We start from the raw sequence: 13,032 nt of genomic DNA on the forward strand, positions 1-13,032 counted from the left end.
TTTTGTATGTAACTTGCAAGATGTGTGTGTGTGTGTGTATGTGTTTGCACACGTATGTGTGTGTACGGTTGGAATCACCTAGTACCTGGAAAAGAAAACTCACAATAGCATACCATCACTATATTTTGTTCATTATTTATGTATATCTAAACTGTGCTCTACGTGAATTCAAAATAACTATTTTTGTTTAGAGTTTTAAAATAATTTCTACATATTGAGAGGTTTAAAATATCTCTACCATGGCTGGGCTGCTTATCACCAAGATTATTTTAGATTGTCAAAGCATTTCATCCCCTTACATGAAATAGACAGTCTTTTTAACTGTTTTACCATGCGGCTTTTGGAGGCAAGTGGACTCCCCTTACCAATGAGGTGGTCTCCTAAACTTGAATTGGCTACCTAACCGCTAATGTCAGTCCGCAGACAGTAAAGAACACTGCAGGAACTCCTATTGCAGGGGTCTGGCATTGCCAGAACAGTAAGGACTTCATCCACCTGTAAGTGGGGGTGTCTAAATCAGGAGGCACACACTGACGCAGCACCCTCATGGCCCTGCCTTCCAAGGTCAGGAGAGATGCTGTGGAATTGTTCACATCCAGGCTGCAGTTAGGCATAAAATGAAAGATGCTCCTTGACATTTACATTTTGAATGAAATAAGTTTTATGCAGATTTTCTTTCTCAAGCACCCCTGTTATCCCTGGCAGGGATTCCTAGCAGGCCACATTACACAGGTCATATGCAGCAGCGTGATCAAAAGCAACACGCTGAGAAGTAAGTACTGGGTAATGGAGTCAGCAGTTGGTAAGGGGAGGATGGGGGGAGACTGAAAATCATTGCCATCCTTCTCTAAGACCATTGGACCCCAGTGAGATCCCTGGCAGCAGGGACAAGGGAATGCAAAGAAAGGGCCCTCCTCACCATCAAAACTCTTTCCTTATCATTTTATTGGTCTTTCCTTTTATTATCTGAGTTAGCCCAAAATTACAGATCAGTATACTTGACAAGGCATATAAGTAACTGGAGGCTGGGCTGAAGAGATCTCGTTCTGGTACAATGCTCATATTTGGTTGTGGATGTAACACTGCCCAGACTCCATTCTTGCCCACACAGCTGATCCTCCAAGCCCAAACACACTATCTTAACTTTTCCTCAATGTCACCAATTCAGAGATGGGGGAGAACTTTTTCAACGGTGCAAGATACACTAGGATTTTATAGGGGCATAGTCTTTAAAAAAAAAAAAAAAAAACATGAACAACAAAAATAGCAACACAAAAGTAAAAATAATCAAGAAAATGTAGGCTGTCTACATATGGCTTAAGTTCCTGTTGTGAAACTTAGGAACCAACCATGTTTTGGAATGCTAAAGTAGCATACTGATTTGTGGACAACTTCTTCCTGTCCCTCTCTTTAACTGCCCTCTTTGGCATGACTTGCTCATAACCCTTTAACCTTCCATAAATATGTATTTTTAAATAACTTTTGAAAACCATTGAAAAGACCAGGTCAATTTGTTGTATTGGTGCTATCTTGTCATTTACATATTCCTTTCCTTCCTCTCACTTGTTCGCTCGTGCGCTCTCTCTCTCTCTCTCATTTTGCTTTTATGTTATGGTTGAGAAAAGTGCATGTGTTCTTGCCAATGTTGACATGCTAATAAAATCTGTGCTTCTGAATGTGGCATTATCCTGCTAATCTAAAACACATTAGTGGTAGCAAGTGTTCCTGTTATTAATTTATATTTGGCCTTTGGACAATGCCAGACTTAACAGTCCAAGCCCTGTAACTGTCCTCATCTGACATGCTGATATTTACTGTTTCCCTATACCTCTGTAACAGGTGTGCTTTATTGCAATTACACAGACACATTCTACTGCCTCTTTGCAACTATGACAGCTATTTCACAACTGTAGCCTCAATTTTATAATAAGATTTAAGAGGATAAAGCAGTCACTAAACACAAAAGGCTAATTATTGTATGTTATTTCACCCCAACAGACTTTTCTCTTAGTTAAGGAGCAGACAATAAATTAGCTTAACTGCACTGATGATAATGAATCATTATAATTAAGTATAATTCTCCATTAACCTTTTGGAGGTTTTTGTGCCATTGATGGTAAATTTTAAAGAGAGAGAGAGAAGAAGGAGTGGACTTGGCCACATTAATTATATTAATGAAAAAAGAAACTGGGTTCTTAAAAAAATTAGTTAAGACAGGGGAAAGGGGGTGGAGAGAGGGGCAGTAAAGAATGACAGTCTTAGTGGGGTGTATGTCATGTGAATTGTCTCTATCAATCTTAGTAACCTTACTGTATATCACCTTCATTAAACTGTGAAACACGGGGCACTCCAAGTAGCTATAGTGATATAGGCCTATATTAACCAATGTACTACCCTGTCATTATGTGCAAAAGGGCATAATACGTTTTAGGATGACAGCAAACATTAATGATTCAAAAAATGAAAACTGCCAACGCTACCTGCTGCTCGTAATATTTTATACAGGCGGAGGTGATTCCCAGAGCCGCTGCCATGTAGGCAAAGCTTCTAGCAGCTAGCTGCCTATAGTGCAACAGAGAAGTGACTGGCCAATCTCAGCCGACTGGCGACTCTATCCATGGCTGGACAAGTAGCCAAGACCTTTCCTCCTTAAGAAAAAAATTTAAAGGCCACTATTCTAAATGCTTCTGATGTTTATTTGAAAATGACTGCAGGAATTCCAATGATTAAAATAAATCTTCCTTATTTCCATATGATCTAGTTCCTCAATCAACTCCTAACAGCATCAGGAATAATACATGATGGAAAAATGAAACTACAGCAGCTGAGACCCACAGTGCCAGCCAGACAACCACCCACAGGACACTCCGGCTACTCAAAGGCAATTAGGACTTTGAAGCCACTTATAACCCTGACTCATAATGGCTACAGGGCATATGAATTATCCATATCTATTCCGCCTTACCAAGAAATCAGAACAAGATAACAATTACAATCCACAAATACGATCTACCAAGGCAAGGGAGGGCAAATGGAGCCAACATTTGCAAACCCAGCAAAGAGTTAAGAATCCCGGGCATGCCTCGCTAGATAGGAAAAATGCATTCACAGACGGCCTTGGCCAAATTATTTTCACTTTAGATGTGTATCGCTGCACCACATGGACATCTTATTTAATCAAATCACGTGTGGGCTTGATCCTCCCCCTTACCCTACGTGCCCCCAGCTACCCAGAGGAAACACTCGCAGTCTTTTGCCAGATTCATTGTTAGCAGCTGGGATCCTCCATGCAATTCAATTCGAGTCCATCTCACCAGAGTCCACAGAAAGTTTTGCTTGTTTCCCAAGTTGCCCAAACTTTCCTTCCGAGAGCATTCCATTGTGCTGAATGCAAACACGCCGAGGTCCTCCGTCCCCCCACTAGACTCCAGAGATTACGAGGAAACTGCTTGCGTTATTTTCCCCCCTGTATGAATTGTAGCCAGCAGAGACTGTGGAATTGATGTATTGCTGTCTATTTTTACACTAGCAGCGAGCAGCTCCACACACAGTCCTGCATAAACTCTATTCTCTCTCAGCTTCAGGCAGCTCTCCGTGGTACAGGAAGATTTAACCATTGGCTTCCCTGCCACCGACGCGAACGGAAAACCTTGCACTGCCAGGCGTTTCTTTTTATTCGCTGGCCAAATCTTTCAACCACGTATAGGAGTTTTAAAGGAAGCAGCATCGTTGTTTTGTGTTCTGTGGGAAAAGCAATCTAAAATAGCCCAGCAGGATTATTTAGGATTTTGTAAGTTCTCTGTCTGATGAACAGAGAGAGAGGGGGGAAAAATCCGGACTAGAGTCAAAACGGACTATATTTGAACACATCCATTTTAATATTTTTATCTTCGTCTTATTATAAATAGAAATGGCATTTTTCCAACCAGGCCACTAAACACCACTGGAAAGACTTCAGCTTCTGATTCATATCAATATCTTAGAGCATAAATATTGCATATGAGTAGAAACAGTGCCAAAGTCACATGGAAAGAGTTTCTAACTGCAACAGATACTGATGACAGCAGCTAAGCTTTGATTTGCTCAAGCCATCTCAGAGCCACCTTAAAATAGCAAACTTATTGGAGTTAAGATAAGATTGAGATTCTTCTAAAAGCTCCTGCCTGGACTACTTTCCTGGCTCCTCTCTTTGCCCAAGCCCATCCCCCCTTACAGGAATAATAGCATCTGAGGGAAGCGTCAGTTGTGGCTGCAGCGCCGAGCCCTGCCCCAGCTCACCTCGATGTCACTCCATACAGACTCAGAGTCCTGGTTGCACATGTCCCACGCCATCCAGCTCCTGAATGACGCCAGTCAAGCTTTTTCAACTCCAATCCACAGTGACACAGAGCACACACTCATGCAGGCAACCAGCCCCTTACTGAGAGTGAACTGAAGGCACCTGTCTTACTACAGTCCCCAGTCACATGACAAAGCTATTAAAAAGTAGGCTGGGCTGTCACTCACCCAGCCTCCCTTCCCCTGTGCAGCTTGCTGCTCTAACTCGTGACGTCACTCAAAGGCAGCCCTCTGCTTCAGTGAAGTAACGCTTTAAAAAAAAAAAAAAAGAAAGAAAAAGAAAAGAAAGAAAGAAAGGAAACACTTAGACTTTTGGAGGCTTCAAGCATCATGCTGTGATTAAAGCCAGCTTTGAATGCCACAGACTCTAAACGGAGCCCTGGCCATATAATAACCAAAATCCCCTGCAATCTTTTTTTAATTTATTTTCCTTCCAAAACAAGCAAGTGGCAAAGCTCCCTGTTTCATGACAGAGTAACTATATTCTTAGCTAAAACGTGTATTCCCTAAGAACTCTTTAATTCTAAGATCTCCAAGTGGACTCAAGCTCAGTTTGGGACTAAAGCAAGAGCTTATCACATGATGCATTTTTATGAGACATTTTCTCATTGAGGGAGTGTTTGAAAGCGCAAACGGGGCTTTTTTTTTTTTTTTTTTTTTTTTTGCTTGTTTAATCAACAAAATAGCCTGTATGTGTTAAGGTATAAACAAACTCCTCCACCCAGAATTCGGCTGCCCCCATGGCAGTAGGGAATACCAGCTCCCGAAGAGTTGCTGCAGTTTTCTTTGCTCCATATAAGGAGAACAAGCCACAAAACCCCATCCTTTCAGCTTCCTTCTAATTATTTCCATTTCTCTCATAGGCTCCCAGAAAACAAGTGTTAGTAAATACAGTCGCTGCTGCTCTGCTCAGATCAGCTTTGATTCCCGGCTCCTATTTTTCATACATGTAGCGTTTCCTCCCTAACTGCCTTAGGGTGCCTTTTTGAATAAACATTGAATTCCAACCCTAGTGCCCTGGGTTGTGTAGTTTGCGTTTTGAAATCAAGAATGTCTGTGAACTGAGGGAAAAATACCAACACACTATTAGCAGAAATATTCAATTCCTGAGCTTTACTTTCTATTATTTTTCAGCTTGTACCTTGAGACAATGAGGGCTAATGCAGGTAGGTGCAACTGTTTTATGATGACACTACATATTGAATACATAACAAACTCAAGGTACTGGACACAGTGGAAAAACACTTCCTGTAACATGACAGTGGTCTGACTTAACCCTTCCAAGTTCCCAGGAGATGTACACGTGTATGTATCTGTGTGAATAAACATGTTTTCATAAAATGTTAAACCCAATATACTTTTAGAATCAGCTCAATTCTTTTACTTGATAATAATTTACCTGAAAACAATCCCCCAGTTACCTAAATATAATTTGTAAAGCATTATTCTACTGAGGTTAATTTACACTGTTCTTCATTGTCCATCTCCTTAAACAGAAAAACATGGTTATTTGCCCTAACACATATTTTAAATATTAAATTGCTCAAATATTAAAGTGAAAGAAAGAACAAAAGAAACAAAATACCAGCAGACTGCTGCTTCTTTCAGACCATACATATTATAAGAGATTTGTGTGCTGTGAGAGCTGCAACAAGTTGCTAGTAAATTCCCAAATAATGTAAGGAAGTTGACAGTTTATCATTACTGGGCATAAAAAGGTGGCCAAGAGCTTTGACATTTTAAGTTTGCTGAATACAGTTCACCAGCACATTTTCCCTTTTATAAACAGCAGAAAATTACTGTAGTTTTAATTTTCTAATGAAAGAACAGGAAAATACAACCTCGGGAATGCTTTTATACAAGCAATTAGTGGCATTACTCTGCACTCCCCACAAAGAAACACTAATTTTCTTCCCAATTATATTCTGATTTAATGTAAAACTTCAGTAAATTATTAAAATTCAGGACAAAGGTCATTGGCTCTGCCCTCAAGGATCAACTGTGAAATAATATTGGTCACCTGGCCAAGAAGAGTCAATGTTTATTAATTATTATCATGTGATTCTTCCATTGTGATATTCACTGATACCTTTATTTGTGTTTATCCAATGCTAGATATTCATCATATTTTTAAAACCTATTCACATCTTTTAGAGATGTTCTTTACATTAGAACAGGCTCGTTATAATTTTTGATATTCTAACCTGCCCAGATTGTATTGTTAGGGTTTTCTTATTTTTTGCCATCTAATTCTACTTCTAAAAAATCAAATCAGCACATGCACTGAAACCAGAAGTGATTTCAAATACACTTGTGTTTTCTTCACTCTCACTATCACAAAGAGGATGGAATTCAGAAGTAACAACATTTAAAAGACTCATAAACTACAGTATATTGCATTTCCCCCTCAAATTTCTATTACTGGACAAATCAAAATTAAATAGATTCCTAGGACAAATTAGAGTGCTTTCCACGATATTTTTTTTTTGTCTTAAAACTACAACTGTAATGAGAGGGATGTTTTAGAGGTTTTATAATTTTGTTAATTAACTCTTCAGATTAAATTTTTTCTTCAGTCCAGTTTTTTTTTTTTTCTTTTCTCAGGAGAACTTAAATGGTTCATTGCTCACCAACCTTGGTTTTTTTCTGGTTCCCCGGGCCATTTCTCTATTTAATTCTCTCTCTGCTTTGACTATTTCTCTTACTCTCTACCCACAGCCCTCCTTTCACCCCTTCGTCAACTCTGTCTCCAAAATTCCCAAATATCTGGTTTCAGACAACAAGGATCTATTGAAACCTTACTGTGTGCACAGCCATGTATCACAAGGACTGCCAAGAAAGCATATGACATGGACACAAGAGAGCTTACAATTTTAGGGGGATGACAACCCTTAAAAATGGGGAATAATTTGGTATGAAAAACCAACGTCACTTGGATCAACACCCAGATTCCTCTTCTACTGCTTAAAACACACCCTGGTGAGATACAAGTTCCTTTCATTGACCACTGCAGTTCACACCCAAATCAAACCCATTTTTTCTCAACAATAGAAAGAGGTATTTATTAACATCTGCTGAGTGCCCCCAATGTTGCATATCTACACAAAGCCTACATTCCATCCTGATAATTTCTCCCCTCTGTAGTTCTGTTAACATTTTCCAGGGTTTCAATATTAGTAGAGGCAGGAGAATCTATCTCGAGTTGCTAACAAAGAGAAAAAAAAAAACCTCAAGAGAATAATTCAATTCTCTAACAAATACGTTGACTGAAGTGTATAACATTTGGGTTTCCTTCCTCACTCCTACTCCAAATTAAAGGCTTTTCCCATCCCTCCATATTTCAGACAACTGCCCATTTCTAAAAATTAGAATCAAATTCAAACCCTCAAACTCAAAAACCTCAGAGAATAGCAAAAACAATTGGTTTTGTTGTCTATATTGAATATAGGTGATTTCAGAAGCAAACTCAGAAGAGCTATTAGGATAAATATATTTGTTCATTTGTTTTTATAAGTTTATAAGTTTTTATTTTAATAAAACAAACAAAAAACTACCAGACTGCTGCTTCTTTCAGATCATACATATTATAAGAGATGTGTCTACTGTGATATCTGCAGCAAGTTGCTAGTAAATTCCCAAATAACGTAAGCAAATTGACAGTTTATCATTACTGGGCATAAAAAGGTGACCAAGAGCTTCAACATTTTAAGTTTGCTGAATACAGTTCATAAGCACATTTTCTCTCTTACACACAGCAGAAAATTACTGTAGTTTTAGTTTTCTAAATCAAGAAAGAACAGGAAAATACAACCTCGGGAATGTTTCCATATACACTATTTATACAATAACTACATAAGAATATATGTATGCAGAAACTTCTCAAGAAAGAAAGGTGGAAAGCAAGACATATACAGCAGACCACGTATGGGCTAGACATTAAGATCAGCACTTCATATACCACATCTCAGTCAATTTAGTCCTCCAAACTATCCAATAAAAATGACCTGTGTACCCATTTTATGATGGAGAAAAATAAGGCTGGGCAAGGTTTGGAGGGCAGCTGGAAAGAGCATGCAAATCGCTGAAAGCCTTTCTAGGAAGAACTAAAGTTTCATCCATAAGAATAATAATCATCCTCAAATCAAAGCCATAGCAAAGACCCTGGAGGCAACTTTATAACTGAGGGACAGTCTACATAGCTGGAAACCAATATTCCTGGGAATGCTGCCTGCCTAGAGCATTCGTCCAGAAAGCAAAGGGGCCTGCCTAGAATTGCTAATATTTTTCAAGTTAGTCATTGTTAACAGGCATTCAATTGCTTGCTTTTAATTCCTAGAGGGACTAATTGATCCTGATACCCCACATCAGTTTCTAAACACATGCTTTGGGCCTCTGGTTAGAAGCAGAGACTGCATAGAACACAAAAGTTGGTAGCAGGATAGGATATAACAAAGACTTCTATTCTATAAATACTATAAAATTAAACCTCATTTTGCTTGAAAAAAATGCCACAGTGATGTCCATGTGAACAAAGAACCTTTGAGGAAATAACTAGAGGAAAATCAAGACAGCTTGAATGTCTCCTAGCATTTATTTTTATTTTTTTAATAAACAAGTTATGATAGACAACCTTAGCAAAAACATCTCTCATCTCCAGTAAAACCTTCTGCAGACCGGCTCTATGGAACTGAGTCAGCCTCTATTTTAATTTGGACCTCAAAATGTGCTTTTGGTGTTTTTCATATTAAAACAAAAAATAACATGAAAGTTAATCTGAGTTGCAGTCAATTGGACTAATCTAAACTTAAAGCAACAATTGTACTTATTAAGCACAGAGATAAGAGATAATAAAAGGGTGGTTAAAATCTGATTTTGTCTGATGTTCAACTCGGTTGTATTTGTGAATCCACATTTTCATTTACCTTAATTATTCCAGGTTAATTTATCTATAATGCAGACAGTTATTGATTATTTAGACAATAAATGTTCAATAGGATTATCTAGCAATTTTTTTAAGTGGAACTGAACAAGGCATATTACATATTGTCAAATTTGGCACTATTTAAAATTTTAAAGTGCTACAGAACTTCAATACATAACATAACATTTCATTTACTAAGAAGGATTTTTTTTTTTTCACACTAGCTGAACTTAGTAAGTGCCAGGGAAAATTAAGGTACACAAATTGTTTAACTGAAAAAAAAAAAAAAAAAAGCAATCAAACCATTCCCGTGATACTTATTTTTTAGTGCTTGAGTACTAATTAGCTTAGCTTTTCTCGATCTTAGAGAAACAAAACAAAACTGTATTTTGCAAATAGTCTCAAAAAGGTAACAATAAATATATATATTTTTTTCTTTTTCTTTTTCTTTTTTTTTTAATACCACCAGGCAGAGTCTTGGAAAGATTTTTGGTTATTTGACTTGTGTTTCTGTTATGGGTTTTTCCAGTGCTTTGATATTTGAATTTTGCTCTAGCTAAACTGATATGTATATACATATATCCCAAACATGTCGGAGAGGTAGAAGGGAAATAAATTCTCATCTTAAGAAGCAATTAGCTTTGAGGTCTAAGCTCAGTTTTGTGGTGACAGATAAACTCTTACTTTATATTTGCTAGCCCAATTAGACACAAGACTTTTGAGAAAACATCCTTAACCAAGACGACCGCTTCTAGGATTGACCTCTACATTTAGCAGCTCAATCGAAAAATAGATGTCAGATACTACTGGTAGGATTATACTGGGTATAATTTTTATACAGAGCAAGCAGGCAATATATATTCAAAACTTCTAAAAACCTCATAGACCTAGAACATCTACTTCTAGAAATTCATCCTAAGGCAATAATAAGGGAATGTGTACAAAGATTTTTCATATTAGGATGCCCAATGCGACATTATTTGCATTATTGAAAACTTGAATGCAATGTGAATATCCAACATTAAGTGACCTGGTTCAATAAATTATAGAGATGTGTGTGTGTGTGTGTGTGTGTGTGTGTGTGTGTGTGTGTGTGTATATATATATACACACACATATTTATATTTAATATTATCATTAAAATCAGTTGTAAAATATATTTAATAGCATAATGGGAGAGTGTTCAAAATACATTAGGGTTTAAAATGAAGCTTGAAAAAACTATAATCATGAAAAGTTTACCTGTAAAAATATATCCTCAGAAAGAAGAAGAGGATGAGGAGGAAATGTAACAAGCTGTTCGTAGTGGCTGACGACGTTATAAGTACTTTTTACGTTCCTTTATGTGAATGTGCCTTTCTGTAATTTTCAAATTTTCTCTTATAAACATGCATGACTTTTATATTCAGAAGAAGAAGAATTATTCAGTTTTGAGAGGAACAGAGAGATTCAGTATTAAAGCCATGCCTGCTTAACATACTGGGAATGTAGCAGATAGAAATAGCCCCTGACGCCCAATATTATATCTCAAATATGCATCATATATTTAAAATGAAGCCATTTCTGCCTGTCATACCAAGTCCAACAGCTGCTCCACTTAGGATGCAAAGCTCATGAGCAACACTGAGGGAAGTTAGTACCTGGTATACTTAGAAATCCCAGAATTATGGAGAGAAGGAAGCTATCAGCTACTATCAGCTTGCCTCAGAGGTAGACCCAAAACCACTAACCCCCAGACATGACTACCATCTTCCCTTTGTTTCTCAATCTGAAATTTAATCAATTGTAAAGTCAATTTTCTCTTTAAAAATCTTAATTAGCCCGGGTGGGGTTAAAGAAACTTCATTCATTTATACAATAGTAAATATTTTCAAGAATGGTATAAATAAATAGGTAAGAATAATTCTTGAGAAGAGGGTCTACCAACTAACTGGGGAAAAAAGGAGGGGCCACCAGCAAAGGCTTAGAGAAAGAGTGTTTGGAGACATGGCTTCCACTGGAGATGACTGAAATTGATTTGACCAGGAAAATGCAGTCCCAGTTTCAACCCGGTGACATACAAGTAAATTTCTGGAACACAGCCCATCCCTAAATGTGAAACAACCTGTGTAAATGCTGCCATGTTGCAGCCCCGTGCTTGGGCAGAAAGCTCATGTTTGGCTTCTCAAATATCACAAGAGGGGATAACTCACTTTCTTTCCCCTGGAAGGTCAACTATATTCATAGGAATGAAAGCTTTATATCAGCCAATTTGATTTCATGTTCTCAAATTTCCTGGGCCTTTTCTGCAGATCATTCTTCCTACACATGGGTGTTTGTTATTTTGACCATTAAGAATATTTGTAAGAAGAGGAGTAATGAGGTTTAAACCAAAGTCAGCCAGCCTTATGAGATTTAAGGTGAGTACTGGAGACTCAAGTCTATCTGACAGGTGGAGTCACTTTGAGGATCTTGATTCAGCCCAAAATGAAAGGAAAGTGCATGGTAAGAAGAACATGGCCCTCATTCAGCTATGTCACTTGCCAGCAATTTGACTTTGGGTGATTCATGTAATGATACTGAGCCTCGGTTTCCTTATCTGTCAACAAAGATGGCCGGATTCAATTAAATCAAAGATCTCTGCCAGATCTAAAATGCAGTGATGTGCCTGTCTTGACAGAGACAGACAACTCAGGAAGCCTTCTTTGCACAGGGTGAATCCAAATGTCTCATTTCACAAAGATACTGGAAATCAGAGATATTGTACAAGAAAGGCAACTGGCGCTCAGTGTTGCTGAAAGAGCACAGCTTCATCATTTTCCTTGCAATACAGATATTTAACCACTCAACGATTCTAGAAAAAGAATACTAGAGAACTTGTGAAATATAATACTTTCAACCACAGGTATTGGCTCTGAGAAGATCAGCTTCTTAGAGACCAGCATTTCTTACAAAGCTCAGGTAGCTGTCCAGAGAAACAGTGGGCTTTCATCTTGTTTATCATTAATTCTGGAAAGTAGCACGAGTCATATGTAAGACCGAGTCCCTGCATGCACAGCAAGTGTGAAAACCACACAACTGATGTGGTAGTCATTACAAGTGATTTAGAAATGGTGTCACCCAGAGAGAGAAGATTTAGAAAGAAGGGTGGATATTATATTCAGGGTTTTGTAAATAAGAATAAGGTCTACAGCAGCTAAGGAAATGAGAGCTTAAAATAACATCCTTTCTTCCTAATATGAGAAGACCCTCCTTAAATAAAAAGCTCATTATATTTGGTAAAAGACTGTACATATTTTTAATTTAGAAGGAATCAGCTGAGATATTCATGTAGGGTGTGGAGGGAGGAAAAAAGGTCATATGCCTAATATTTTACCATAACAGTATTAGCAAATGTATTAAACCAAGACCATATCACAGGATAGCGTTACCTTTTCAACTTTTTCCTTTGTACATACGACTCTATTGAGCAAGAGGTAGAAGATGTATGCTTTGATGCCACCTAAGACCAACCAGCTTGGAGGTTTTCCTTTAAGGTTGAGTGAATTAGTCACAGGAAAATTAACTTCTCTACCAGAAATTAGGAGAGGGAGCACTGACAACATAGGAGTAAGGAAAGTATGACCAGGTAAATGATAAACCTCAGTCAGGACAATGCCTTGATAAACCCTCAGCTATTCTCACACAATGCTGGGTTCTCACTAGCAGTATTCACTGGCATTACATTCACATTTTCCTGCAACCAGGAAGAAGAAGCAATAAGAAAACTAACATAGCAAATCTTGATTCTGTGC

General features: G+C 37.9%; 1 protein-coding gene across 22 annotated transcripts in view, besides 1 other annotated feature; it reads right to left on the reverse strand.

Moving 5' to 3' along the window:
* Positions 1 to 13,032, reverse strand: part of PPARGC1A (PPARG coactivator 1 alpha) — a 680,885-nt gene that overhangs the window by 93,605 nt on the left and 574,248 nt on the right. For 5 of the 22 annotated variants that reach the window (NR_148984.2, XM_047449551.1, NM_013261.5 and 2 more), the window contains exon 1: positions 4,279 to 4,422. The exons of 16 other annotated variants lie outside the window; for them this stretch is intronic. Coding sequence is in view for 5 of the 6 variants with exons in the window: in XM_047449551.1 (XP_047305507.1) it covers positions 4,279 to 4,332 (54 nt within the window). In the remaining variant the exon portion in view is untranslated. Of the gene's footprint in view, positions 1 to 3,314; positions 3,583 to 4,278; positions 4,423 to 13,032 lie in introns of those variants that run through there. One more of the 22 variants, XM_005248131.6, reaches the window with a different exon arrangement.
* Positions 521 to 1,097: an enhancer, noted in NCBI's record as "OCT4-NANOG-H3K27ac-H3K4me1 hESC enhancer chr4:23887769-23888345 (GRCh37/hg19 assembly coordinates)". NCBI's record gives its function as "activates a minimal SCP1, AML or CMV promoter by ChIP-STARR-seq in naive H9 embryonic stem cells {active_cell/tissue: H9 hESC(naive)}" and the evidence as "EXISTENCE:reporter gene assay evidence [ECO:0000049][PMID:30033119]".

This window comes from Homo sapiens, chromosome 4 (genome assembly GCF_000001405.40).
Source record: "Homo sapiens chromosome 4, GRCh38.p14 Primary Assembly".
NCBI classification, from domain to species: Eukaryota; Metazoa; Chordata; class Mammalia; order Primates; family Hominidae; genus Homo; species Homo sapiens.